This window comes from Homo sapiens, chromosome 19, assembly GCF_000001405.40.
Source record: "Homo sapiens chromosome 19, GRCh38.p14 Primary Assembly".
Lineage (NCBI taxonomy): Eukaryota > Metazoa > Chordata > Mammalia > Primates > Hominidae > Homo > Homo sapiens.
Genome location: NC_000019.10, coordinates 17,048,687 through 17,076,432, shown reverse-complemented (window position 1 = coordinate 17,076,432; position 27,746 = coordinate 17,048,687). Strand labels below are relative to the sequence as shown.

Sequence of the window (27,746 nt, the reverse complement as noted above, 5' to 3'; positions counted from 1 at the left end):
CCATTTCCCCGCTTCCCAATAGCCGGCTGCCGCATCAGTTAGTTCAGAACCCCCCGCATTTACTGAGCGCCCACTGGGGGCCAGGCGCCGCCCTCTTCTCAGACACCCTTCCTTCAATCGCGCGGGCAGACGTCCCCAGATCGGTCTCGCACCCCTTCCCCTCAACCGCACCCCGGCTGTCCCGCCCCTGGCCTTGCCCACTCCCCCAGCCTGGGCCTCTCGTTCCCGCCTCCGTGCCTCCCCACAACGCCGTTTCCTGCGACCCCCCAATTACCACTTAAGCCACGTCCTCTTCAGAGAAGCTGCTCAAAGCCACAAGACTCACCCCCCCCACGCCCTCGAACTCCCTCACCAGCTCCATCCCCATCCACTTTCTCCTTCACCGTCTCGCTTCCACCTCATCCCCAGCAATCTCTCCAAGACCCCCAGGCTCGTTCCCGCCCCCTCGACCCCTGCCGTCGCGTCCCCCATCAGCCCTCAGCTCCGTCCCTCTTCTGCGCAGCCCCCAAAGGCAGGCTTCGAGCTCGAGTCGCCAACCCGAGGCTGCCTGGTACTCACCTGGCCTCGGCCGCCGCGCGCCGCCGGTCCCGGGCCGGGTCCCCGGCCGGACGACCGCCTGCCAGCCCGCCGCTGCTCGAGCCGCTCCGCCCCGCCGCGCCCGCCGCTCCCCCGCGCGCTCCCGCTTCCGGGTTCCGGAGAGGCGGGGACGGGGGCGTGACGCCAGCGCTCCTAGGGGCGGGGCATCGCGAAAAGCCCCGCCCCTACTGTCCGACAGATCAGGTCCCACCCACCGCCCCTACCCACTACCGCCGATGGTGGGCGAGACCAAGTGCGAGGGGAGGACAGGCGAAGCGCGCGTCTGGGGCCGCGCTCTCCACACTTAGCCGGCGCTGCCTCACGCCTCGCAGCCACCCCTCCTGCGTCTCCACAAATGGTCCGACCCGCAAGCAAGGGGGCGGGTCCGGCTTTGAAAAGCCGGCGGGTCGGGCCTTGAGGTGGAAGGCGGGAAAATGGCGGATTCCTCGGGGCGAGGCGCTGGGTGAGTTGGGGCTTCCGCAGGTCTGGATTTGTAGACGCCATAGGGCTGGAGAGGATGGGCAGCGGAGGTGGGGAGTTAGGACCCTCGGGGTGAGTTCGGGTTCGACCCCGCCAGGAACTGCGCGGGCCCCTGAAGACCCCGATGGCGTGCTGCCTCTGCGCATGCTCCGGAGCGCTGACACCCGACCGGCCCTGAGTTCCGCGTCCTCGGCTGGGACGCTGGGCGACCTCCGGCAAGCGGCCTGACCGCCCAGTGCCTCGCTTTCCTCCGCTACGAAATGGGGCCGATGACGCAGCTCAACCTCGTAGGCGTCGCGTGAGGCTGAAACGCGCTTAGATCGGCGCCTGGGTCTTTACTGTGATGTCGCTCTTGGAATTATCGTTATGCAGTGAACAAGTGTTGGGCGACCAAAGTGTCCCCTTTAATCCTCCCACGCGCTTTATTCTGTGCTCCCAGTTTACTGAGGAGATGATGGAGACCCAGGGAGGGGAAGTGACTTGCCTAGGGTAACACACCATGAACAAGAAAGAAGTTGAATACTGACCGAGAGCTAGGCATGAATGATCATGAGGCTATATTTGTCTAGTTTTGTTAATTCTGCCAGTGTTGATTGTGCCAGGTGCAAACTGAAGTGAAATTGGCCAGCAAGAGGAATCACTCCACCGCCCCTTGCCGTAACCGATAGATTGACAGTAGCACCTCCCAGGTACAGGTGCAGTAGCTGAGGCTCGCACAGGTTGTAGGGACCCCCCTCAGGTCGCAGCAGGTTCACCCAGGAGCCCATTCGGTTTGAGGCCACAGCCCTAGCACAGTCCCCAGAGGGAGTCTGTGCTCTTGTCTCTTTCTGGCTGTGAGACTGCCCCGGGGGTGACCTATGTAAAACCTGTGCGTCTTTGTTTTGCAGCGACGAAAAAGCAGGTGTGAACAGTTAGGAAGCTGTCGGGTTAGGAGGAGCCTACGGGCGAGCGCAGCTGCTGGCACCTGGCGAACATTTGCTAAGTTGCCTCTCCCCACGGTGGCCTGGAAGTGTCCCCAACATTGTCTGGGTCTCACTTTGGGGTCCTGGGAGCCTGCTTCAGAGGAGGTGGCCGCAGGGACCAGTGGAGCCGCCTTTGGTGATGGGAGCAGGAGTTACAGTGCCCTGGCCTTGGCCCTGCCCCTCCACTTGCCCATCCACTTGCCCCTCCTGTGTTGCTGGTGTCTGTTCTTGGATCCCTTCTTTTCTCACCAGCTCAGGCTGAAACCCTGAAACCCCTAGTCATCCCAGATTCTCCCTCTCCTGCACCCCCACAGCTGATGAGTCAGCGATTCCTATCTCAGGGTCCCTTCTTTCCTATTACATCAGGCTTCATTCTATTTTTATTTTTATTTTTATTTTTATTTATTTATTTATTGAGACGGAGTCTCACTGTCACCCTGGCTGGAGTGCAATGGCGTGATCTTGGCTCACTGCAACCTGTGCCTCCCGGGTTCAAGCAGTTCTCCTGTGTCAGTCTCCTGAGTAGGAGGGACTACAGGCGCATGCCACCACCCCAGCTCATTTTTGTATTTTTAGTAGAGATGGGGTTTCACCATGTTAGCCAGGATGGTCTCGATCTCCTGACCTCGTGATCCGCCAGCCTCAGCCTCCCAAAGTGAGGTACCTGCTGGGACCACTCCTCGTACCTGCCTGTCAAGATGTTGTTCTTCCCTTTCTGGGAAGGAGCTCTGTGTTTTGTTACCACTGTGTCTCTACTGGAATATAGTAGGTGCATCAATGTCTGGTGAATGAATGAACCCAGGGATAATTTGAGATCTGCTGTGATCTCTTCCACAGAGCTCTCATTACCCTCCTCTCTTCTCAGTTTGGGTGTTCACCTATGCCTTCTTGCCCAGGTGACCAGGGCTGGCTGCTCCTTGTGTCCCTTTTCCTGTTGAGGTGGCCCACCCTCACTGAAATTGTCCTCTGGCAGCCCTTGGACTGGGCTGTCTGAGCTTCAACTAGCAGAGGCACCTCGCCGGCTTCCCTGTGCTTCTTGGGTAGTGAGGTGAACAAGACCTCTCTCTCTTCTCTTGCAGGAAGCCTGCAACCGGCCCCACAAATTCTAGCAGTGCCAAGAAGAAGGATAAAAGAGTTCAAGGTAAGCAGTGTCAGGATCTCTTTAAGGAACATGGTTTTCTTCTTTCATTACGTGCTTTTGGAGGAAGAAAAAAACAGGCCAGAGAAGGGGGCCTGTGGCTTTACTTCCTTGTAGTCACACCTGTGGGGATTCTGGGTCTGGCCATCCCAGCCCTGTGGCGAGGGCTGTGTCAGGAATGGTGGTGGTCATTTTGAGCAGTGGCTTCCCTTGGCAGCCATGGGGGTCATGGGCTGTGTCCGGGACATGTCCCCTGGAAGCGTGGGTGTGGAGACCATGGAGATCATTATCAAAAATCAAACTCTGCCTTTTTTTTTTTTTTTTTTTGAGTTGGGGTCTCACTATGTTACCCAGGCTGGTCTCGAACTCCTAACCTCAAGTGATCCTCCCGCCTCTGCCTCCCAAAGTGTTGGGATTACAGGCATTAACCACTGCCCCCGGCCTAAAATCAAACTCTCAATTCCCACTGCGTGAGCGTGTCAGTCTCATGAGGGGTGCCTGTACATCTGATTTCCACCTATCGGTCTGGGATCACCGTTAACGGCCTCCCCCACGAGCCAAGATCGCACCACTGCACTCCAGCCTGGGCGACAGAGTGAGACTCTGTCTCAAAACAAAACAAAAAAAAAGGAAATGTGGCTGGACACGGTGGCTCACGCCTGTAATCCCAGCAGTTTGAGGCGCCAAGGTGGGTGGATCATGAGGTCAAGAGTTCAAGACCTGCCTGACCAACATGGTGAAACCTCGTTCTACTAAAAATACAAAAATTAGCCGGCCATGGTGGTAGGTGCCTGTAATCCCAGCTACTCAGGAGGCTGAGGCTGGAGAATGGCTTGAACCTGGGAAGTGGAGGTTGCTGTGAGCCGAGATCGCGCCACTGTACTCCAACCTGGGTGGCGAGCGAAACTCCATCTCAAAAAAAAAAAAAAAAAAAAAAAGGAAATGCTCGGCTTGCATGGTAGATTCTAGAGTCCATCATTGGAGGCCAAGACTATGATACAATGAGGTATTTTCTCAGTGTGTGCAGTGTCGCAGGGCCCAATTCAGCGAGCTTAGAGCAGGATTTTATTTCCAAGTGAGGCAAGGTTTGTATGTTTCAGCATTGCTGGGTAAGTTGTCTTTTTATTTCCTGACCACTTATTCCCAAATTCTAAACATCGCATGTTAATCTCGCATATAACAGCTATAATATTTATGAGCTACCTCGTTCTTGGACAAGAATTGTATCCTTCTTCATAATATTGCTTCTGTGGAAAATTCAGCCTGTTTATTTATTTGTATTTATTTTTTTGAGATGGAGTCTCGCTCTGTCACCCAGGCTGGAATGCAGTGGCGTGATCTCGGCTCACTGTAGCTCCCGCCTCCCAGGTTCAAGCGATTCTCTGCCTCAGCCTCCCAAGTAGCTGGGAGCTGCCACCATCCTGGCTCATTTTTGTATTTTTAGTAGAGACAGGGTTTCACCATGTTGGCCAGGCTGGTCTCAAACTTCTGACCTCAAGTGATCCGTCCACCTCGGCCTCCCAAAGTGCTGGGATTACAGGTGTGAGCCACCGCACCTAGCCAGGCTGTTTAAAATAAACAGTTGTATCCTAGTTTTCAGGAAACTTGAAAGTGCTTTTGTTTCCCCACCGTCCAAGGCAGCCCAAGCCTGAGATCCTCCTTGTTGAGCAAAACTGTTTCCTGATGCTACTAGAAAGACCCGGGCTGGATGGTCTTTCTGCTGGGAGCTGGGGATGTCCTTTCTCTCAGCTGTTCGATCACCATCCAGGGTAGACTCTTTTTGTGGCCTGGTTGTCCCTGGGACCCCACCTGGTCCTGGCCTCAGCCCTTGGAGACCTGCACCATGAGAGTGGCCTTCCGATTGTCCACATCTGCCGGGCACCCACCTGCACCCACACTCGCTCTGCAGGCATGGTGCATTCCTACCCTGGGGCTGCCCAGATTGACAGCCCGGCCCTTTGGCTGACTGAAGGATCCTTGTTAACTCTGAGGGTACCTCCTTTCCTCTCAGGGTAGCAGCTGCAACCCCAGTCCCCAACAGAAGAATCAACTGGAACAAAGATATGGTCAAAGTCACAATCTCACTTGGCTGAACTCTCAAGCTGTGTGACATTGAGCATGTCACTCTCCCCGGGCCTCTTCAGTACAAAGGCAAACCTCTGAGCTCTATGGCACCGATACAATGCAGAACCGTTTTTTTTTTTTTATGAGACAAAGTCTAACTCTGTCGCCAGGCTGGAGTGCAATGGCACGATCTCGGCTCACTGCAGCCTCTGCCTCCTGGATTCCAGTGATTCTCCTGCCTCAGTCTCCCAAGTAGCTGGGATTACAGGCACATGCCACCACGCCTGGCTAATTTCTGTAGTTTTAGTAGAGACGGGGTTTCTCCATGTTGGCCAGGCTGATCGCGAACTCCTGACCTCAGGTGATCCGCCTGCCTTGGCCTCCCAAAGTGCTGGGATTACAGGCGTGAGCCACTACGCCTGGCCTAGAATCATTCATTTGACATATTATCGAGTGCCTACCCCGTACCAGGTGGTGGAACATAGCAGCGAGCGAAGGAGACAAAAATCCTGGGCCCCTGGGGCTCTAGGGAGGAGGTGGGCATTGCATGAGAACCGTAAGGAGGCTGTGGGGTTGCTAGATGATGACAGATGCTGTGACGAAATGGCAGGCAGAGACAAGTGTGCTGTGGTCTGAACTGAGCAGAGCCTTGAGAGAGGGAGGTGCCTGCAGGGGGATGCACAGCAAGGGGGTCCACGCGGCAGAGCGGCTGAATAGAGCAAGTGAGAGGTGACAAAGTGATAAGGTTAGAGGCAAGTTGTTGGTGGCACAGGGTCCAGAAGGTTCCCGGAGGCACTTAGGCTTCCTGAGCCCATGGACCCAGCACGCCAGCCTGTCTCAGCCCTGAAGGGCAGTTGGAGGCTGATGGAAGGTTTCAGGAAGCAGGGAACGAGCAGTGGTTGTGCCTGGTGGTTCAGATGACCAGGACTGAGAATGGACTGCTGGGCTCAGGAGCAAGGGAGGTCACGGTGGTCTTGTCCAAAGGTGTTCTGGTGCGGTGGTGTGTCTGCAAGCTGGATTGTGGGGGGCGGGATTCAAGGGAAGGAGAAAGGAGAGAAAGGGGAGCTGGTGAATAAAGAACTTGGGGTGTTTGCTGTCAAGGGGATGGGAGAAATGGGGGGAGGCAGAGAGTGCAGGTAGGAGGAAGAATGACCTCCAGCATCTGGTGGAGAGAGGAGCTGTGGGGATTCAGGCAGGGAGGTGGGAGTTGCGGGGCATTTCCTTTTGGAAGTGAGGGCTGGGCTTTAGCGCCCAGAATGGGGGGCGCTTTATCTGGGAGCACAAAGGTCCATTCACAGGGCCGGGGGAATGCAGCCATCAGGACTGGAGGTGGCTGGATGTGGTGGCGGGAGGGTCTCCTGGGGCCACTTCTGTCTTCCCAGTGAAGGAGGAAACAGGTCACCTGCTGAGACCAAGGGTTGGGCCTGGCGTAGGAGGTGGGAGGAACAGTTTTGAGGGAGGGGTCCGGGAGAGGGCTGGGGGACAGAATGGGACTAACCGGATCCAGTTCAGACCCCTACCTCCAGAAGCTGGGGTGACAGGTGGCATTTGTTCCATCCACAGTCACGCTCCCAGGAGTAGCCCTGGAAGGGGACCTGGGGTTGGGCTGTCACTAGGGATTTGGCTCTGTCTGAAGAGGGCCTGGGTGTTGGGCATGTCTCAGGGCAGGGGGTCCCAAACTGAGTAAGGGGCGGGGGGAGTAAAAGGTAGTACCAGGAGTGAGTCCTAGACACACAGGCGGGGGAAGGGGCCATTGGGGTCACACGAGATGGGAGGAAGGAGGAAGCCACCTGGAGGCCGTCAGTGAAAGCTCTTTCTTCTTTCCCTCCCGCTTGTCTGAGTGCACTTGCAGCTTTGACCTTGGAGGGTGTTCCTTGATCTTACTTCCTCAGGAACTCTGTGACTCCACACATGGCTTGGGACTTGCATACAGTAGGCGTCCCATGCATGCTTGAGGCTGCCGAAGGACGTGATCAGAGGCGAGCAGGAGGAGTGGTGACCTCCTCTGTTCTGGTCACTGAGTGGAGAGGGCCCCTGGCATCTGGGTCTCCGGGGCGTGGGGTCTGGGTGTGTGGGGTCTTCGGTCCTTTGTAGTTTTGTTGTGCACCAACAGTGTGTCCCCACAGGTGGAAGAGTGATTGAGTCCCGGTATCTGCAGTATGAAAAGAAGACAACCCAAAAGGTAAGGCCGCACCCAGCTTCCATTTGCAGCAGTTCTGAGCAAGGTTCTGAGCAACTGGAATTCCGAAACTAGTCATGGGAGGTGGTCACAACCTGGTCCTGAAGGAAGCATTTTGGGATCTTCACTCAGGTGCTTTTGAGACCATCAGCCCTTCATGCTGCCAGTTGTGAGTCTGTCATCGACGGCTCATGGCTATAAGCATCTCTTTTACGAAGCTGTGATCTCCATTGAAACATGGTATCGTTCTTACCCTTTTTTTTTGTTTTTGAGGCAAGGTCTCTCTCTGTTGCCCAGGCTGGAGTGCAGTGTGATCACGACTCACTGCAGCCTCAGCCTCCCAGGCTCAAGCCATCTTCCCACCTGAGCCTTCTGAGTAACTGGGACGAAAGGCGTGTGCTACCACACCAGCTAATTTTTAAACGTTTTTGTAGAGACAGGGTCTCCCTATGTTGCCCAGGCTGATCTTGAGCTACTGAGCTCAAGTGATGCTCCCGCCTCGGCCTCCCAAAATGTTGGGATTACAAGTGTGAGCCCTGGCGCCCAGCCTGTTCTTGCCTTTCAACCCAGTTAATTCGCTTTCTGGATTCTGAAGCTGTCTTATCCAGTGCCCAGCACACAGTTCTTGGTGTCTGGCTGGTATTTAAAAACAGCTACTTTGGGAGGCCGAGGTGGGCGGATCACTTGAGGCTAGGAGTTCGAGACCAGCCTGGCCAACATGGCGAAACCCCGTCTCAACTAAAAATACAAAAATTAGCCGGATGCAGTGGCGTGCACCTGTAATCCCAGCTACTCAGGAGGCTGAGGCAGGAGAATCGCTTGAACCTGGGAGGCAGAGGTTGCAGTGAGCCAAGATTGAACCACTGCACTCCAGCCTTGGCGACAGAGCGAGACCCTGACCCGTGTCTTCAAAAAAAAAAAAAAAAAAAAAAAAGAATAAAATAAAAAAACAGGTTTTTAGAGAAAAACTATGGGAAAAATGACATCCTTCGATCACTCCGAATTGGAGTAAGAGTTTAGTGAACTATTGTGTAGGCAAACCATGAAATATCGTGAAACCATTGAAAGTAATGGCATGAAAGATATTTAACCACGTGAGAACGTGCTTTGTGTGAGAGTTCGTGGGAGCAATCAGTAGATTATACAATTATATATTTTCTTTCAGTGAAGTCAAGGTTGGATTCTTCCCTCTGCTTTCCAAATCTTGGTTTATGATAAAATTAAGTCAAATTCCCACTGCCTGTCTTCCACTCTGGGTGGCTGGTGGGTTCTCGACCCTGTGACTTAAGATTCGGCTTGAGAAAAGAGGATACCTTTGCACAAACAGATACTCTTCTCAGAGCAGTTTTCAACAAAGGGTCACAGTCTTCCACGCTCCAAATTTTCATGTTGTTGCCAAGACTTGGTTACAGCGCCCCCGTGTGTCTGCGTGCTGTAACATTTTAGCCCTTTAGATCTTTTCTGTTTTTCCCCCCATTTTAAAAATCAGGGTGTCATTTACATGGAGTCAGCATCCCCCTTTTCAGCATAGGGTCTTGCCTGTTTTGACAGACATAGACAGTCATGGAACCGCCTCTATAATCAAGCTACAGAACGAGTCATCCCTAAATCCCCTTGTGCTCTGATAGGACCAGCCCCTCTCCCACCCCCAGGCAACCACAGATTGGCTTTCTGAATCTGCATTTTTGCCTTTTTTAGAAGGTCATATCTGTGGCATCACAGTTTGTAGCCCTTGCCTCTGACTCCTGACACTTAGCAGAGTGCCTTTCAAGTTCCTCTGTGTTGCATGTATTGCATGTAGGTGCTTCCTTCCTTTTTTTTTTTTTTTTGAGATGGAGTCTCGCTCTGTTGCCCAGGCTGGAGTGCAGTAGTGCGATCTCGGCTCACTGCAACCTCCGCCTTCTGGATTCAAGCCATTCTCCTTCCTCAGCCTCCCGAGTAGCTGGGATTACAGGTGTGTGCCACCCCACCTGGCTAATTTTTGTATTTTTAGTAGAGACAGGGTTTCAGCATGTTGGCCAGGCTGGTCTCGAACTCCTGGCCTCAAATGATCCACCTGCCTCAGCCTCCCAAAATGCTGGGATTACAGGCATGAGCCGCCATGCCCGGCCTGGTTCCTTCTTATGGCCGAATAGTATTCCATCAAGTGGATGGACCACGTTGTGTTCATCTGTTCATTGATTGACAGGCAGTCAGTTGGTTTCCTGTCTTGGTGATTATGAATAAAGCCTCCGTAAACATTCTTGTGTATTTTTCTGTGTAGACGTGGTTTTATTTCTCCCAGGAGGAGGATTGCTGGCTCGTAGAAAAACTCAAACTGTGTTTCCTATTCTCCCACTCAACAACAGTCAACACAGGACTTCTGAGGGTTCCCCCACCAGCAAGCAGCAGCCACCAGCTGGGTATCTTCCAATTCAATTCTGACACACTACCTGGAAATAGCATCAGAACCTATAGGGTGAGGGCTCAGTCTCCAAGACTGCCCCTCTTCTGCCTCTAGAACTTCTGACCAACCAAGTTCAAGTTGGGATTCCCATGACCCCCCTCTTTGGGTTCAGTTAATTTGCAGGAGTGACTCACAGAACTCAAGGAAACACTTAGGTTTACCAGTTTATTATAAAGGATATTATAAAGGATACAGATGGAGCCAAGTGTGGTGGCTCATGCCTGAAATCCCAGCAATTTGGGAGGTCGAAATGGGAGGATTGCTTGAGGCCAGGAGTTCCAAACTAGCATGGGCGAGACCCCGTCTCTGAAATTTTTTTTTTTTCATTAGCCAAGTGGCTGGGCATGGTGACTTAGGCCTGTAATCCCAGCACTTTGGGAGGTCAAGGTGGGAAGATTGCTTGAGCCTGAGTTTGAGGCCAGCCTGGGCAACATAGCAAGACCCTACCTCTACAAAAAAATAAAAATAGCTGTGCGTAGTGGTGAGTGCTTATAGTCCCAGCTACTCGGGAGGCTGAGGCAGGAAGATCATTTGAGCCAAGGAGGTTGAGTCTGCAGTGAGCCACTGCACTCCATCTTGAGTGACAGTGAGATCCTGTCTCTTTTTTTTTTTTTTAGAAGATAAGAGATGTGTAGAGTGAGATATGGGGGGAAGGCGCACAGAGCTTCCATGGCCTGTTCGGGCATACCACCCTTTGGGAATCTCCACGTGTTAGCTATCTGATCTGAAGTCTCTCCAAGCTCTGTGCTTTTTTTTTTTTTTTTGAGATAGAGCCTCGCTCTGTCGCCCAGTCTGGAATGCAGTGGTGCGATCTTGGCTCACTGCAACCTCTGCCTCCCGGGTTCAAGCTATTCTGCCTCAGCCTCTGGAGTAGCTGGGATTACAGGCGCATGCCACCACACCCAGCTAATTTTGTATTTTTAGTAGAGACGGGGTTTCTCCATGTTGGTCAGGCTGGTCTCGAACTCCTGACCTCGTGATCTGCCCACCTCGGCCTCTCAAAGTGCTGGGATTACAGGCATGAGCCACCACGCCCAGCTCCTTTGGGTTTTTATAGAGTCTTCATGACTTAGGCACGATTGAAGCATGGACAGCCCTGTGGAAATGTGATTGGTCAAAAAGGGCATGCTTTAAACCCAGCAAGTCCTGTCTGTTCAGATTCTTCTTGGCCTCTGTTGCGTTTTTTCCTCTGGGGTATGAGGCAGGACCCTCTCTGGCAGGTGAAAGGAGTGTGGGAGGTCAGAGAGATCCTGCTTACTGTAACAAGGGTTTATAGGAGTTACAAGCCATGAGTTGTAGATGAAAACATCTCTATATAATGGTAACAGGAAACTACCTGTTATCCACAGTGGCTGCACCATCTTTATGTTCCCACTAGGCACATAGATGAAAAGTGCAAGTTGTTACTTTCACATTCTAGCCAGTCTTGTGGGTGTGAAGTGATACTTCATTGTGGTTTTCATTTGTGTTTTCATAATAGCCGATGATATTGAGCATCTTTTCATGTGCTTATTTGCCATTCCTGTATCTTTGCGGATGTGTCTGTTGAGATCTTTTGTCCAGTTTTAAATTGAGTTGTTTTCTTGTTACTGAGTTTTGAGGGTGCTTTCTATATTCTGGATACCAGCTCTTTGTGGTGCTTTGCAAATATTTTCTTCTAGTCTGGCTTGTCTTTTCATGCTGTTAAGTGCTTTAATTTAAGAGGCAGTAGTTGACGATTTCGATGAAGCCCATTTGATCACTTTCCCCATTTGTGGATTGTGCTTTTGGAGTCTTATCCAGGATATCTCCACCTAATCCAAGATCACAGATTTTTCTCCTGTTTTCTTGTACGAGTTTTGTAGTTTAGGTTTTACTTTTAAGTCTGTGAGTTAGTTTTTGTGTATGGTGTGATGTTTAAATCAAAGTTCGTTTTTTCATGTATGGGTGTTCAGTTGTTGTAATCCCATTTATTGAAATGATTTTCCTTTTTCCCGTTGTATTCTCTCATCATCTCTGTCAAATACCAGTTGACCATGTATGTGCACATCATGTCTGGGCTCTGTTCTTTTCCATTGTTCTATGTATGCATCCTTATGCTAGTTCCACACTGCTGAGGTTACTGTAGCTTTGCACTAAGTCCTGAGAACAGGTAATGTGAGACCTCTCACTGTGCTTTTCCGAGACTGTTTAGTCTCTTCTCGTTCCTTTGGCTTTCCATAGAGATTTTAGAATTGTCATTTTCTAGCAAAATATCTGCTGGATTTTGATTATATTGAATCCATAAATCAGGGCAAATGCCTTCTTAATAAAAGCGAGTCTTTCAATCCATGAACATGGTATGCTTCTCCATTTATTTAGATCTTCCTGGATTTCCTCCAACATTGTTTTGTAGCTTCCAGATTATAGATCTTACACATATTTTATTTGGTTTATAACTAAGCATTTGGTGTTTAGTGCCATTGTATATGGTACTCTATTTTAATTTCAATCTCCAAACTTGTTCATTGCTACTTCATTGCTAGAAATATGAATTTTTACATATTGATCGTGTGTCCTGCACCCCTGCTGTATTAGAGTTCTCCAGAGAAACAGAACCAATAAGAGAGGCTTATAAAAGGATATGAATATATAAAAGGAGATTTATTTACACGGGATTGGCTCATGTGATTATGGAGGCTGAGAAATCCCAGGATCTGCTGTCTGCAAACTGGAGAGCCAGGAAGGTTGGTGGTTTAGTTCAGTGTGAGTCTGAAGGGCTGAGACCAGGGGAGCCAAAGGTGTAAGTCCCAGTTTGAGGACAGGTCAGGAGATGGGGTAAGATGTCTCAGCTCAACCAGGCAAGCAGGAAGCAAAAGGTATGAATTTCTCCTCCTTCCACTGTTTTGTTGTATTCAGGCCCTCAAGGGATTGGATGGTGCCCATACACACTGGGGAGGGCAGTTTATTGCATCCACCAATTCAAATGCTGATCTCATTAGTAAACACCCTCACAGACACACCCAAAAATGTTCAGTCTGGGGCACCCCATATCCAGTCAAGTTCACACACAAAATTGAAAGAAAACTCTTGTTAAACTTACTAATTTTAATAGCAGTTTTGAAGATGTTCGGGGATTTCCTACATGAAAAATTACGTTTGTAAGAACAGAGTTTTACTTTTCCTTTTCAACCTGTTTGCCTTTTACTTCTTATCTGAGGACCTCCACTGTGATATTGAATGAGAGTGGTGTCTGTGCGTCGTCATGTCGTTGCTCTGGTCTTGCTCTGTCTCCCAGGATGGGGTGCAGTGGTGTGATGGCTCACTGCAGCCTCAAACCCCTGGACCCGAGCGATCCTCCCAACTCAGCCTCCTGAGTAGCTGGGACCACAGGCGGGAGCCACTGCACCTGGCCATTGCTCTTTATAAGATTTTTGTTTTGCTTTTGGTTATTAGAAGGCCAGTGCTCCATGTGTTTCTTTAAAAAAATATTTTTTGACAACATATGTGTAAAAACTTTGTTTCTCCTGATGACCAAAGTTATATGTTCTCTCTGGAAAACTAGCAAATACTTAAATGTGTCTAGAAAAAAATCAGTCACCTGTAATCTACCATGTCAATAATCACCAGCAAACATTTTGGTAGTTTCCTATGTTCTCTGCAAGTGAGCATCTACATTTTGACAAAATTTGTTTGTCCTGTGTATATGAGGTAAGATTTCAAACCTCTTTAAATGTCTCCCCTGCCTCAAAGTAAGAGCAGTTACGAAACACAGTGCAGACCGCATCAGGGCCCGTTGTTGTGAAGGGAGGATGTCTTGTCCTCTGAGTGTCATGTGTTCCCATAACAGGCTCCTGCAGGAGATGGGTCACAGACCCGAGGGAAGATGTCTGAAGGTGGAAGGAAATCCAGCCTGCTCCAGAAAAGCAAAGGTGCGAAACAGCCATGGTCCTCGGGCAGTGATGAGCGCGGCAGTAAATTTTGTCTCCATGGGTGCTAAGTTAAAGTTCCTTCTTTCCTTTCTGGGAAGGGTCAGAAGCAGTGAGCAGAGAGAGTTGGAGCATAAGGACAGACTGGGGGGATGTGGGGAGGTGAGTGGGGATGCGGAGCAAAGGGGAGATCATTTCTTCCCTGTGTGGCCCCAGAGAAAAGCCACATTGCCATCATGGTACTGCTTTGTGACATCAGTTTCTTGTCTATGTGACTGTTTTCCCACTGGTGCTCTGAGAGCAAGACTCTTAGAGAGGCTGTGAGGACTCATCCTGAGGTCGGGAGTTCGAGACCAACCTGGCCAACATAGTGAAACCCCATTTCTACTAAAAATACAAAAATTAGCTGGCCATGATGGCACACGCCTATAATCCCAGCTACTTGGGGTGAGGGTGCAGGGCTGAGGCAGGCGAATCGCTTGAACCTGGGAGGCGGAGGTTGCAGTGAGCCGAGATTGCTCCATTGCATGCCAGCCTGGGCAACCGAGTGAGACACCGTCTCAACAACATCAACAAGAAGACTCAGCTCTGCTGTTTGTAACATTAAAAACAACCCCAGACCAGACATAGAGGAACAGGTATAGCTGTGTGCCAATAAAACTATTTACAAGCAAAGGAAGCGGGCTGGATTTGGCCTATGAGCTACAATTTGCCACTCCTGGTGTAGATGTTTGTGAGAATTCGCGCTATGCCCTTCCCAGGCGTGGTTGAGAAGCAGGCACACTAGAGCCAGCCTGCTAGTCTTTCCCCATCTAATTGGGTTGAAGGCCATGCATGAAGCTGGGAATGCTGGTGTGGCCAGGGGATCAGACTGGGCCTGCCACACCTTAAAACCAGTTCTTACTCAAGGGCGATTCTGACCCCCAGGGAACGCTTAGGCAGTGTCTGGAGATGTGTTTGGTTGTCATATCTGGGGGAAGGGGTTCTACTGGCGTCTGGTGGGTGGAGGCCAGGGAGGCCACTTAACATCCTGAATGCACAGGACACCCCCACCACCGCAAGGAAGGATCCAGCCCCATGTGCTCGCAATGCCATGGCTAAGAAACCTTAATTTAAACCACACCATAATGATTTCAAAGGACTGCTTGTTTGAGTTCCATTGTATGGCTTTGTAGAAAATTAATTTTTTTAGTGCAAATGCTATACATGCTGATGATAAAATATTCCAGGGCAAAAGCAATAACAATAAAAAGTTACCACCTCTAGCTGGGTGTGGTGGCTCACGCCTGTAATCCCGGCACTTTGGAAGGATGAAGCCGGTAGATCCCTTGAGCCCAGGAGTTCCAGACCTACCTGGCAACATGGTGAAACCCTGTCTCTACTAAAAATAAAAAAATAAAAAATTATCTGGGCATGGTGACACTTGCCTGTATTCTCAGTTACCCAGGAGGCTGAAGTGGGAGGATTGCTTGAGCCTGGGAGGCAGAGGTTGCAGTAAGCCTAGATTGTGCCACTGCACTCCAGCCTGGGTGACAGAGCAAGACCCTGTCTCAAAAAAAAAAAAAAAGAAAATTTCCACCTCCTCACCCCAGGCTCCCAGTCTGTGCCCTGAGGGCATGTGCTCTCAATAGATTTTTGCTGATCTTTCCAGATTTTTTTTAAGAATTTCAACACAAATCGTTGTTATATTGTACCCTACACATTGCAGTGACCTTCCTCTTTTCATTTCCAGGTCATTCATTTCCTCAGCTGCATAGTTGTTCATGAAATAGTCTCATGCTTAGTTCCTAACACAACATACCGTACGTGCCATCTGTTGGCATCTGCAGCACTCCTGGGCTCTTGTGTAGTGGTAGCATGCTGTATGCTAGTGCCCATCTTAGACAGTGTAAGGCTTAATTTTACAGTTTAGAATATACGTTAAAAGATGAAGGGAACTCCCAGGGAGGATGAACAGTCCAGAAGCTGCAGAAAAAAGATGGAAAGATTACTTGGCTGAGTGCGGTGGCTCATGCCTGTAATCCCAACACTTTGGGAGGCCGAGGTGGATAGATCACCTGAAGCCAGGAGTTTGAGACCAGCCTGGCCAACATGGTGAAACCTCATCTCTACTAAAATACAGAAATTAGCTGAGCATGGTGGCGAGTGCCTGTAATCCCAGCTACTTGGGAGGCTGAGGCAGGAGAATCACTTGAACCCGGGAGGTGGAGGTTGCAGTGAGCCGAGATTGCACCATTGTCACCTGGGTGACAAGAGTGAAACTCCGTCTCAAAAACAAAAAAGGTGGAAAGAGAGTAGAGGGTAGAATGGGAATATGGCATCGTATCCCACCTGTAGCATCTTGTGAACTAGCAGAAAGGCCTATTTGCGTCTCTTTGGTTATACAGAATGTCTCTGTCTTCTAGTGGTACTTTAAAAATAGAGTCAAGGTGATGGCTGGGAATTTCCACAGGTTTTTTTTTTTTTTTTTTTTTTAGCCTTTCCACCTTGGACGAAATTGGGCTTTTAGAAGCAAGTGGTATTGTTCAAAAACACGGCCTGCGTTTCCTGGCTTGAATGGAGAGTGTCTCTTGACTGTGCTGACTTTCGGGGATTCTTTTCTTAACAGCAGATAGCAGTGGGGTCGGAAAGGGTGACCTGCAGTCCACGTTGCTGGAAGGGCATGGCACAGCTCCACCTGACCTGGATCTCTCTGCTATTAATGGTAAATCATTTGTTTCACCCCTTCTGTCACTCACTGGGGGTTGCAGTAGGTCTCAGTGGGCTTCCAAAGTACAATTGGCCTACAGTGGGGTCACATCCAACAAACCCATTGTAAGTTGAAAATATTGTACATCAAAAATATACTTAATACCTTGGTAAAGGGTATTAAACTTGCCTTTTGCCCCTTGCAAAGTTGAACAACTTTAACTGGACTGTTATAAGTCCATATACTCCTCAATTTATGATGGGGTTACATCCCAATAAACCCATCATTAGAAAAAAAATGGCAACCAGGGACCAGTCTATATACGCTACTTGCCATTAAAAATGCTGTGCTTTATCTTAGACAAAAGCATCGTCAAAAAGACGCCACAGTTAGCAAAAACAATATCAAAGAAACCTGAGTCAACATCATTTTCTGCCCCTCGGAAAAAGAGCCCGGTAAGTGTCTGAAAGAAGAGGGCAGCCACAGATGGGTTGCATAGATCTGATTTAGAGTCCACTCTGAACCAGATGCTGAGTGCCCACGGATCCAAGAACATAAAAGACACCCATGCCCTTTAGGACAAAAATCAAGACTACAGATGTTCTTAGATCATTTGTAGAGTTTACATTTCCCCAAGTACACATTCAGTAGTGGATACCAATATGGAGCCATGTAAAAAATGAGACAGGGGACTTCTCTGTGCCCATGCTGTGCTGGGAAAGGCACAATGCCAGGCCCTGTCCCTTGGTGGGAGGACGGCTAGGCTGTGGTCTCACTGGGGTGAGGACAAGACTGGTGGTTGGGGGACCAGCAGGTGGGGAGACGGCATTCTGGTCCTGGTGCAGCACCAAATTGGTGGGTATTCTCAGCTTGTCCTTGACTACCCAGCTGCTGCTGTCTCTCCACCTGCCAGGTGCCAGGGGAAGGAAGGTTGTGGACCTCCCTCTTTCATCTCAGCGCCGCAGAAAACCAAATAAAAGAAAATAGAAGCAATAGACCCACTACAGTAGAGAACTACCGAATATCAAACTGAATACAGAAAATCCACACAAGCCAGAGTTCTCCCCCTGCTGGGAAAAGAGCTGGATTTATACCACTTCATCAGGAATTGAGAGGGTCTTTTTCTTTTCTTAAGGATTTATCTGAAGCAATGGAAATGATGGAGTCTCAGACACTACTGCTGACGCTACTATCCGTAAAGGTGAAAACAGTTTCTTGTTCACGTATGCCATGGATGGAAGGGTGGCCTCCATTCACGGGGAGGGAGTCCCCACCTGCTTGAGCTTTTCTTTCACATTTAACAGATGGAGAACAATCTTGCTGAGTTTGAAAGAAGGGCAGAAAAGAATTTATTAATAATGTGTAAGGAGAAGGAGAAGCTACAGAAAAAGGCCCACGAGCTGAAGCGCAGGCTTCTCCTCTCTCAGAGGAAGCGGGAGCTGGCAGATGTCCTGGATGCCCAGGTCAGTTGTAAGTGACACTCTGTGACCAGTGAGTGTTCCCTGTGAATCTGTCCCATCTCCACTGTTTCGGTAGCATTCGTGCTAGGGTATCATTGCTCACTGGCTTCTAACTGTGTTGGGCTTTTAATGCCACACTTGCTCTGGTCCTGGTGTTGGTCTATGATGACACTTTTAGAGAATGAGGTTACAAAGTAAAGTGTGAATGAATAAGGGAGGTGTGCACCTTCTATGCACTTGTGCAGAGACTTCCTGAGCGCCTGATGATCGTGAGCAGCAACAGGATGACGTGCTCTGGGACTCCCCTGCAGGGTCAGGGTACTGGTGAGAGGCACATCACTCCTAATGCTGTGTGGTCAGCAGTGTCCATGTGGGAGAAGGACAGGAACAAACCCCTGGAACCCAGAAAGGGCTGATTGGCAGGGGCGGACCCCCCACCCAGTGGGTGAGTTTCCTGTGGTTGCTGGGACAGAGTCCCACAACCTGGGTGGGCAAAACAACTGGAATTCATTCTCTTACGGTTCAGGAAGCTGAAAGTCCGAGATTGAGGTGTTGGTGGTTGGCCCTGTCTGAGGGCTGCGAGGGAGAATCTCTCCTGGCCCTGTCTTTGGCCTGTGAATGGTTGTCTTCTCTGTGTTCACATGTCCTCCCTGCTGTGTGTGTCTGTGTCCCCCTTTCCCCACAAGACACCAGTCGTGTTGGATTAGCATCCCCCCTACAACCCCCCTATCACCTCATGTTAACTTGATGACCCTGATAAAGTCCCTCTTTTCAAATAAGGGCACATTCCAAGGTACTGGGAGTTGGATCATCAGGTATGAATTTGGGGGGATACAGCTCAACCCCTAACATCCAAAATTTTCATGTGAGCACCCGTGCAGCTAGACCCTGGGCTTGAGTACAAGGTCTCTGACTTTAGGGAGCTCAAAATGGAAGAAAAAGAGACAAACCCAGTTGACCCTCAAACAACACGAATTTGAAGTGTGAGGTTCCACTTACATGCAGATTTTTTTCAATAAGTATATTGGAAAAAGTTTTAGAGATTTGTGACAATTTGAAGAAACTCATAGATGAACCTTATAGCCTAGAAATACTGAAAAAATTAAGAAAAAGTTAGGCATGTCATGAGTGCATACATACTTGTCCCAGCATGGGCAACATAGTGACACCCAATCTCTACAAAAAAATTTTTTTTTTTTTTGAGATGGGCGTCTTGCTCTGTCACCCAGGCTGTAGTGCAGTGGTGCTGTCTCAGCTCACTGCAACGTCCGCCTCCCAGGTTCAGGCAACTCTCATACCTGAGCTTCCTGAGTAGCTGGGACTACAGGCATGCACCACCACGCCCAGCTAAATTTTGTATTTTTAGTACAGACAGGGTTTTGCCATGTTGGCCAGGCTGGTCTCGAACTCTGGACCTCAAGTGATCCGCCCTCCTTAGCCTCTGAAAGTGCTGGGATTATAGGTGTGAGCCACTGCATCCGGCCAATTTCTATAAAAATTAAAAATTAGCCAAGTGTGGTGGCATATGCCTATAGTCCCAGCTACTTGGGAAGCTGAGGCAAGAGGTTTGCTTGACCCTGGGAGGTGGAGGCTGCAGTGAACTGTGATCACTCCACAGCACTCCACCTTGGGCAACACAGTAAGATCTGTCTATAAAAAATATGTATGTGCAGTGGCTCACGCCTGTGATCCCAGCACTTTGGGAGGCTGAGGTGGGCGGATTACTTGAGGTCAGGAGTTTGAGACCAGCCTGGCCAACATGGTGAAACCCCGTCTCTACTAAAAATACAAAAAATTAGCTGGGCATGGTGATGCGTGCCTGTAACCCAGCTACTTGGGAGACTGAGGCGCAAGAATTGCTGGAACCCGGGAGGCAGAGGTTGCAGTGAGCCGAGACTGCGCCGCTGCACTCCAGCCTGGGAGACAGAGCAAGATTCCATCTAAAAAATATATATGTGTATGTGTGTGTGTGTGTGTCTGTATGTGTGTCTGTGTGTGTGTGTATGTGTGTGTGTATATAGATGCTAATCTATTTACATGTTTATTGAATGTTTACTATCAGTAAGGTTTCAGTCAGCAGTAGCTATCAGTAAATTTGGGGGAAGTCAAAAGTTAGATACAGATTTTTGACTGCACAGGGGTTGATGCCCCAAACTCCCGTGTTGCTCAAGGGTCAATCGTATATCATTTCAAACCCCCATGAAGACCCAGACAGCATGTTTGGGGTGGGAGTGGGCCATGCCGGGGATGGCCTTGTGGAAGGCAGGCGTTTAGGCGCAGTACTCTAAAGCAGGTGGGCTCAGCTGAGGGCCCAAGCCTAGAACCGCTGGCAGACACATGTTCTCAGTAAGGGGCCTGGGCCGCCTTGCCATCCACTTGGCTCTCTTGGGAAGAGCTCACCACACCCTCGGAAACTTCCTGAGCTCTGATTCCCTGGGGGGTGGTGAAGAACAGCGCTGTATCTTAACCCTGCACAAGCCGTTAAGCTTCTGTTAAGTTTCCAGAGAGGGGACTCCAGGGTCTCCCCTGATTATCCCTTCTGCTTACAGATCGAGATGCTCAGCCCCTTCGAGGCAGTGGCCACACGCTTCAAGGAGCAATACAGGACATTCGCCACGGCCCTGGACACTACCAGGCACGAGCTGCCCGTGAGGTCCATCCACCTGGAGGGAGATGGGCAGCAGCTCTTAGGTAGGAAACGGGGCGTCCCAGTGCGTGTGCAGCAGGCGGGGCGAGGAGCGTGTGTGGGTGCTTCCTGTGGGCCTGATGTCATCACCGCAAGTGCCCTCTTCCCCAACTAAGGCAGAGGATGGGGAGGGCTGGCCAGGCTGTGGTTCCTCCAAGGGTCTCGCCCTGAGTAAGTAACCACACTGGGATTTGAACCTTGGGCAGTGGGATTCACAGTGATCTGTCCTGCCGAAAGGCATTTTGCGGGGACGACCTGTAGTCTCCTGAGTCCTGCTCCCAACAAATATGCCGTAGTGGTTGGGGGGTGACAAGACCACCAGCCCCACCCCGGCTTTCCCCCTCAGCAGAGCAGTGAGGTCCCTTTCAGGCATAGGGTTCCCACCTAATCCCTAACTTGAAGACTTTGGCAAGTGTGAAAAACTGCCGCGTTGCACCTTAAATTCTCTTCAGAACAGGTATCTTCCCACAGAGCAAGTTTTTGGCTACCCTGGAGTTTGGTTCTTTTTTTTTTTTTTTTTTTTTTTGAGACAGCATCTTGCTGTGTCGCCCAGGCTGGAGTGCAGTGGCACAATCTCAGCTCACTGCAACCTCTGCTTCCTGGGTTTAAGTGATCCTCCCACCTCAGCCTCCTGAGTAGCTAGGAGTACACGTGGGCACCACCACACCTGGCTTATATATATATATATATATATATATATATATATATATATATATATATATTTTTTTTTTTTTTTTTTTTTTTTTTTTTTCTGTAGAGACGGGGTTTCGCTATGTTGCCAAGGCTGGACTTGAACTCTTGAGTTCAAGCAGTCCTCCCACCTTGGCCTCCCAAAGTGCTGGGATTATAGACATGAGTCACCATGCCCTGCCATTGTTCTTTTTTTTCTGCGGAGGTGGAATCTTCTAGCGTAGTCACCCAGCCTGGAGTACAGTAGTGCAATTATAGCTCACTGCAGCCTTCAACTTCTCAGGCTCTACTCAGATCCTCCCACCTCAGCTTCCTGAGTAGTAGCCTCCCTAGTGCTTCAGGCATCCACCACTGCACCTGGCTAATTTATTTTTGAAACGGAGTTTCACTCTTGTTGCCCAGGCTGGAGTGCAATGGTGCAATCCTGGCTCTCTGCAACCTCCACCTCCTGGGTTCAAGCGATTCTCCTGCCTCAGCCTCCCGAGTAGCTAGGATTACAGGCATGCACCACTATGCCCGGCTAATGTTGTATTTTTAGTAGAGACAGGGTTTCTCCATGTTGGTCAGGCTGGTCTTAAACTCCCGACCTCAGGTGATCTGCCCGCCTTGCCCTCCCAAAGTGCTGGGATTACAGGCATGAGCCACTGCTCCTGGCGCACCTGGCTAATTATTATATTTTTTTTTGTAGAGACGAGGTGTGGCTATGTTGCCCAGGCTGATCTAGAACTGCTGGGCTCAAGTGATCTCCTACCTTGGCCTCCCAAAGCACTGGGTTCCTGAATAGGTGTGAGCCCCCTGCCCGGCCGGGTTTCTGATTTTATGACTGCGGTCACCTCCACATCTGTAACTCTTAGAAAACACTCAGTCTCTGCTCAGTTCCTTAGGTAGTTCCTGGGAACGGCCTAGGGATCGTGTTGAGTTTTCCGGGGCTGCCATACCAAGCGGCCACAGAATGGGTGGTTTGCAACAACAGAAAGATATTCCCTCCCAGTTCTGGGAGTCTTGATTTCAGCCAGAAGTCTGAAATCAAGGCGTTGATGGGATTGGCTCCCTCCAGGGGCTGTCAGGTGAGCTCATCCTGTGTCTCCCCCACCTGCTGGTGGCTGCTGGTGGCCCTTGGCGTTCCTTGGCTCATGGCCGTGTCCCTCCATTCTCTGCCCGTCCTCACGTGGCCTCCTCCCTGGCTGTCTCGTTATTGAAATTTCCTGCATCAGGCTCAGCACGGTGGCTCATGTTTGTTATGCCAGCACTTTGGGAGGCTGAGGCGGGTGGATCACGAGGTCAGTAGTTCAATACCATCCTGGCCAAGACGGTGAAACCCTGTCTCTACTAAAAATACAAAAAAAATAGCCAGGTGTGGTGGCAGGTGCCGGTAATCCCAGCTACTCAGGATCCTGAGGCAGGAGAATCGCTTGAACCCGGAAAGTGGACGTTGCAGTGAGCCAATATTGTGCCACTGCACTCCAGCCTGGGTGACAGAGCAAGACTCTGTCTCAAAAAAAAAAAAAAAAGAAAAAAAGAAATTTCCCGCATCCGATGAGGACACAAGTCACTGGATTAGGCCCCACCCATCTTAACTCCCCCCCATCCACAAAACCCTGTTTCTGGTTAAGGTCATGTTCACTAGGAGTGGAGGATTGGAGTGAAACGTACGTATTGGGGAGGGCATAATTCGGTCCACAGCCGGAGGGAGAAGAGGCTGGCTGATACGGCACTTAAAAGGCTCCCAAAATGTGACTCTCATGTACGACTGGCCTTGATGTGATGTATGTCAGGGTAGAGAGGCGTGTTGTCCTAGTGCAGGTGACACAGGTCCCGCAGTTGCAGGCATCCTTCTGCTCAGTGGTGCAGGCAACAAGGACTGTTTTTCAGTTGCTCATGGTCTGGCTTGGAGGCCTCAGGCATTCTCCCTGGCACAGCACAGCCCTTTTCACATTTGCATTGGTTTCTGTTGAGGACACCAGAGTGACATTTCAGTTCTGGTCCAATGCCCTCCTGGATAGATGGATGTGCCTGTCCCACAATCTCAGAGCACGGGATGGATAAGGGACGAATGTCTTCCTTGGCTTCTGCTTCTTCCCTGTGCGCTCTCCACGGTTCCAGCGCGATAGCCGAGCATCATGACAGAAGTCTGTCGGCCGCTCCACTTGTGTGTGCCTTGCGTGGGGCACCTTGCCATCCATCGCCCACCATCCCTCTTCCCCTCCAGACGCCCTGCAGCATGAACTGGTGACCACTCAGCGCCTCCTGGGAGAACTTGATGTTGGTGATTCGGAAGAAAATGTGCAGGTGCTGGACTTACTGAGCGAACTCAAGGACGTGACGGCGAAAAAGGACCTTGAGCTCCGAAGGTACCTCGGAAAATGCTTTAAGAAAGAGGTGGCACCCTGTTTGCTCAGGGCTGTTGGTGGCTGCACTGTTGGGGTGGTGCCGAGTTCCTCTAGGAGTTCAGAGGAGGTTCAGTCCCCTGAGCGAGCTGCTCTTTTCCCAGACGCTGCATGATACAAGAATGGCCAGCAGGTGTCATTGTCATCTGTATTGTGGATAACAAAATCTCCATCCAAAAGCACCCGCCTTGCCTTCCCTTTCTTTTTTTTTTGAGACAGGTTCTCACTCTGTCGCCCAGGCTGGAGTGCAGTGGCAGATCTCAGCTCACTGCAACCTCAAATTGCTGGGCTCAAGTGATCCCACCTCAGCCTCTTCAGTAGCTGGGACTGCAGGTGTGCGCCACCATGCCCAGCTAATTTCCCTTTTCTAGCCTACTTCTCAGTCATTTTTGAGCTAATGGGGACTCTAGGTGAAGTGAGGATCAAATATGCTATAAGACGTGTCCTAGATTCACAGAGTATAAGACTCAAGCAGAGCAGGGGGAAGAGAGAACAAAAGAGCTCAGAAAAATCCATGGAAGGGCCAGGCGCAGTGGCTCACGCCTGTCATCCCAGCACTTTGGGAGGCCGAGGTGGGAGAATCACTTTAGGCCAAGAGTTCAAGACCAGCCTGGGCAACATGGTGAGACCTTGTTTCTATTTATTTATTTATTTATTTTGAGACAGAGTTGCTCAGGCTTAAGTGCAATGTCATGATTTTGGCTCACTGCAACCTCCACCTCCTGGGTTCAAGCAATTCTCCTGCCTCAGCCTCCGAACTAACTGGGATTACAGGTGCACACCACCACGCCCGGCTAATTTTGTATTTTTAGTAGAGACAGTGTTTCACCTTGTTGGTCAGGCTGGTCTTGAACTCCTGACCTCAAGTGATCTGCCCACCTCAGCCCCCCAAAGTGCTGGGATTACAAGCGTGAGCCACCATGCCGGGCCTCTCTATTTAAAAAACACAAAAATTAGCCAGGCACACTGGTGCATGCCTGTGGTCTCAGCTACTCAGGAAGCAGAGGTGGGAGAATCATCTGAGCCTGGGGAGGTCAAGGCTGTAATGAGCTGTGGTCGTGCCACTGCATTACAACCTGAGCAGTAGAGTGAGACCCTGTCTCAGGAAAAAAAAAAAAAAAAAAAAAATCTATGGAAGTTCTCAAGCAGCTGGAAGAGAAAGGGTGTCACCTATCATTCACATCCTCAGAGTAACCCAGCAGCACAGGCGCCCTCACATCAGCCCTGTTGGTGTTTTCAATGCCTTCCAGGGTAAGGTCCCAGGAGGATGTTTTTTGAACTTCTGATTGATAGAAATGGCCCAGATCTTAAAGGACTGTGCAGTGGCTTGCACAGAGCACATATCCTTGTGCGTCCAGACCCCCAAAACCCATCAAGATCTCCCCCCGCTTTTTTTTTTAACCTCCCCCAGGAGATTTCTAACCACGCGCTTTTCTCCACCTCTTCCAGTAGAGTATCTTTTCTCTTTTTTACAATGCTAAATCTTTTTCCTGAGTTGCTTAAAATATTGGAAAAGGACTTATGCAAAACAGCCAGCCACCCACTGTGGCATTTCTTTCTCCTGTGGGTGGCCATGGATCAATTCAGGAGACATCAAAGGGTTATAAAGCCACAGTCCCACTCCCAGGATAACTCATTCATCCATGAACGGCAGAATGTTCATGAACCCAGTTACCTCTTAAAGGCCCCACCTCTCGCTGCTGCCACATTGGGGATTATTATTATTATTGAGACAGGATTTCATTTCATTGCTTAGGCTGGAGTGCAGTGGCGCGATCTCGGTTCACTGCAACCTCTGCCTCCGAGGCTCAAGCGATCATCCCACCCCAGTCTCCCAAGTAGCTGGGACTACAGGCGTGCACCACTGCACCCAGCTAATTTTTTTTTTTTTGAGACGGAGTCTCACTTTGTCGCCCAGGTTGGAGTGCCAGTGGCGCGATCCTCGGCTCACTATAGACCCTGTCTCCTGGGTTCAAGCGATTCTCCTGCCTCAGCCTCCCCAGTAGCTGGGATTACAGGTGCGTTCCACCACGCCCGGCTAATTTTTGTATTTTTAATAGAGATGGGCTTTCACCATGTTGGCCAAGCTGGTCTTGAACTCCTGACCTCAGGCGATCTGCCCGCCTCAGCCTCCCAAAGTGCTGGAATTACAGGTGTGAGCCACAGCGCCCAGTATTTTTAAAAAAATTTTTGTATAGACGTGGTTTTGCCATGTTGCCCAGGCTGGTCTCGAACTCCTGGCCTCAAGCCATCTGTCTGCCTCGGCCTCCCAAAGTTCTGGGATTACAGCACTTCAATCCCACTTTACCTGGCCAGGGGATTAATTTTTAATGGGAGTTTTGGAGGGGACAGATACTCCCACCACAGCAGCAGCACAGCACTGAGCTCCATGAACATTTCTTGGATGAATCTTTCCTTTCATGTCTGGTGCTGTTCTTGGGGGGTTTCCCTGATTGAGTCTTTTCAGACGGATCTTATTTGCTGGCCCTTTCCCACTGAGCACGTAGGGCATGTGAAAATCCGCCTCCCCGTGTGGCAGCCCTCCGTTCACCACACACATGCGCTTCACCTCAGAGGGTGAAAGCCGTTATTCTTTCTCCCATCCTCAACAGGAGCTTTGCCCAGGTGCTGGAACTCTCCGCAGAGGCAAGCAAAGAGGCAGCCTTGGCAAACCAGGAAGTCTGGGAAGAGACCCAGGGCATGGCGCCCCCCAGCCGGTGGTATTTCAATCAAGACAGTGCCTGCAGAGAATCTGGGGGAGCACCCAAGAACACGCCCCTGTCTGAGGACGACAACCCGGGTGCCTCGTCAGCCCCCGCTCAGGCCACGTTCATCAGCCCAAGCGAAGATTTTTCTTCAAGCAGCCAGGCAGAAGTCCCGCCCTCTCTCTCTCGTTCAGGGAGGGACTTGTCATGACTCATGGTTACATTCAGGATACTTGAGCACTTTATATACTACCGTAGCACTGTAGCTATTTTTTATGTGATAATCTTGTTTGATAAAAAAGTAAACCTGTTTTGCAATTGAAGCCTCCATTTTCTATGAAGGGGCCAGTTGGAAGACCTGTGTTTTCTCAAGTTCTTCTGGATGACTGGTCCTGAAATTCCGGGCCTCCACGACATGCCCAGTATCCCACTTTCAAGATGATTTCATGTCCTTCAGTCACAAGGGTGGTTTTGGGACAGCAAGTTAAGAATTGTCCCTCGAGTGGACATACTTTATTTACTTTTTTAGGGAAATGCAATTCTTTATTGGAACTCAAGTTTGTGTCTGTAAACATTCAACAGAAGGGGTAAAACAAGAACAATCCACATCATCCTTCCCCTGGCCCCAGCTTCTGGGGCTGAAGTAGGGAGCTTCCACTTTAACCCGACTGGCTCTGGCTCCAGGGCCTGAGATGCCTTCGTAATCTGGCAACTGGGTCCCAGGCAGCCTTGAGAAACTGCTGGGTCCCTGCCTTGCTGGCAGCTTCGGGAGGTCTCTGGGTCCCCATCTCGCTGGCAGCTTGAGAGACTGCAGGGTCTCGTCCTTCCACACCTCCACCAGGGAACCCTGGGTCCCGCCCTCCAGGACGTCCACCACTGGGTCCCGGCATCCCGCACCTCGACTGGAGGGGACATATTTCAGTTCCAGTCTCGGTAGTTGTCACTGGGAGATGCTCAGGCTCTTGCCATAAACCCCATCTGTGCTCCACTGGGACTTTGGCCCAGAACATTTTCCTCCAACCAGCTCTCCAGCTTCCACCCCACGCGGTGTGGGCTTTGGGAACTTACTGATCCCCAGGTCACATTTCCAATTCGTATTGCTGGAGGTGTGGGTTTTGTTGCCTGGTTTGTCTTTGTTTGGTTTTAGACAGGGCTTGCTCTGTCTTCTGGGCTGGAGTGCGACGAATCTGCCTGGTTGTCCCCAGTGAGTCCAGGTTGGGTTTCATGTTGTAGTGTCTGCCTTCAGCTTTTAAAATTTCTGCAAACTGGGGCAAATACAGCAGACTTGTCTGGAGCCCTTTAATATTGAGGGACCCCACGCAGTTGCTTCAGTTCAGCCAACGCTTCCATAGTGCTGTTTGTTTTTTTTTTTTTAATTTTGAGACAGAATCTTGCTC

The 27,746-nt window shown here is 50.3% G+C and overlaps 2 protein-coding genes across 4 annotated transcripts in view, besides 4 other annotated features; one reads left to right on the top strand and one right to left on the bottom strand.

The window, feature by feature from the left end:
• MYO9B (myosin IXB) overlaps positions 1 to 656 on the bottom strand; it is a 137,510-nt gene extending 136,854 nt beyond the window's left edge. For both annotated transcript variants that reach the window (NM_001130065.2, NM_004145.4), the window contains exon 1: positions 559 to 656. The gene's annotated coding sequence lies outside the window, so the exon portion shown is untranslated. The remainder of the gene's footprint in view (positions 1 to 558) is intronic.
• Positions 220 to 514: a silencer, noted in NCBI's record as "tiled region #7940; K562 Repressive non-DNase unmatched - State 1:Tss". NCBI's record gives its function as "represses a minimal TATA promoter and a strong SV40 promoter by Sharpr-MPRA in K562 cells {active_cell/tissue: K562}" and the evidence as "EXISTENCE:reporter gene assay evidence [ECO:0000049][PMID:27701403]".
• Positions 509 to 858: a silencer, noted in NCBI's record as "silent region_10319". NCBI's record gives its function as "represses an Ori minimal core promoter by ATAC-STARR-seq in GM12878 lymphoblastoid cells {active_cell/tissue: GM12878}" and the evidence as "EXISTENCE:reporter gene assay evidence [ECO:0000049][PMID:35858748]".
• Positions 900 to 26,704, top strand: HAUS8 (HAUS augmin like complex subunit 8). Of its 2 annotated transcripts, none has more exons than NM_001011699.1 (11): positions 900 to 1,039; positions 3,098 to 3,159; positions 7,347 to 7,402; positions 13,654 to 13,735; positions 16,344 to 16,436; positions 16,782 to 16,876; positions 17,557 to 17,622; positions 17,726 to 17,884; positions 20,431 to 20,572; positions 23,467 to 23,608; positions 26,257 to 26,672. In NM_001011699.1, exons 1-11 carry the CDS (start codon positions 1,011 to 1,013, stop codon positions 26,558 to 26,560), a joined length of 1,230 nt encoding a protein of 409 aa, NP_001011699.1. In that variant the 5' UTR covers positions 900 to 1,010; the 3' UTR covers positions 26,561 to 26,672. The 2 variants fall into 2 exon arrangements, with proteins under 2 accessions (NP_001011699.1, NP_219485.1); NM_033417.2 differs by having other exon boundaries at positions 981 to 1,039; positions 16,341 to 16,436; positions 26,257 to 26,704.
• Positions 1,039 to 1,238: an enhancer, noted in NCBI's record as "active region_14253". NCBI's record gives its function as "activates an Ori minimal core promoter by ATAC-STARR-seq in GM12878 lymphoblastoid cells {active_cell/tissue: GM12878}" and the evidence as "EXISTENCE:reporter gene assay evidence [ECO:0000049][PMID:35858748]".
• Positions 26,320 to 26,614: an enhancer, noted in NCBI's record as "tiled region #9643; K562 Activating non-DNase unmatched - State 17:Gen3'". NCBI's record gives its function as "activates a minimal TATA promoter and a strong SV40 promoter by Sharpr-MPRA in K562 cells {active_cell/tissue: K562}" and the evidence as "EXISTENCE:reporter gene assay evidence [ECO:0000049][PMID:27701403]".

Bases quoted from the DNA above. Each gene is read 5' to 3' on its own strand.
- HAUS8 (NM_033417.2), top strand. From the start codon at position 1,011: ATGGCGGATTCCTCGGGGCGAGGCGCTGG. The intron at 13,736-16,340 runs GTGCGAAACAGC...TTTTCTTAACAG, and splicing joins CCTGCTCCAGAAAAGCAAAG to CAGATAGCAGTGGGGTCGGA. The intron at 23,609-26,256 runs GTACCTCGGAAA...CATCCTCAACAG, and splicing joins AAGGACCTTGAGCTCCGAAG to GAGCTTTGCCCAGGTGCTGG.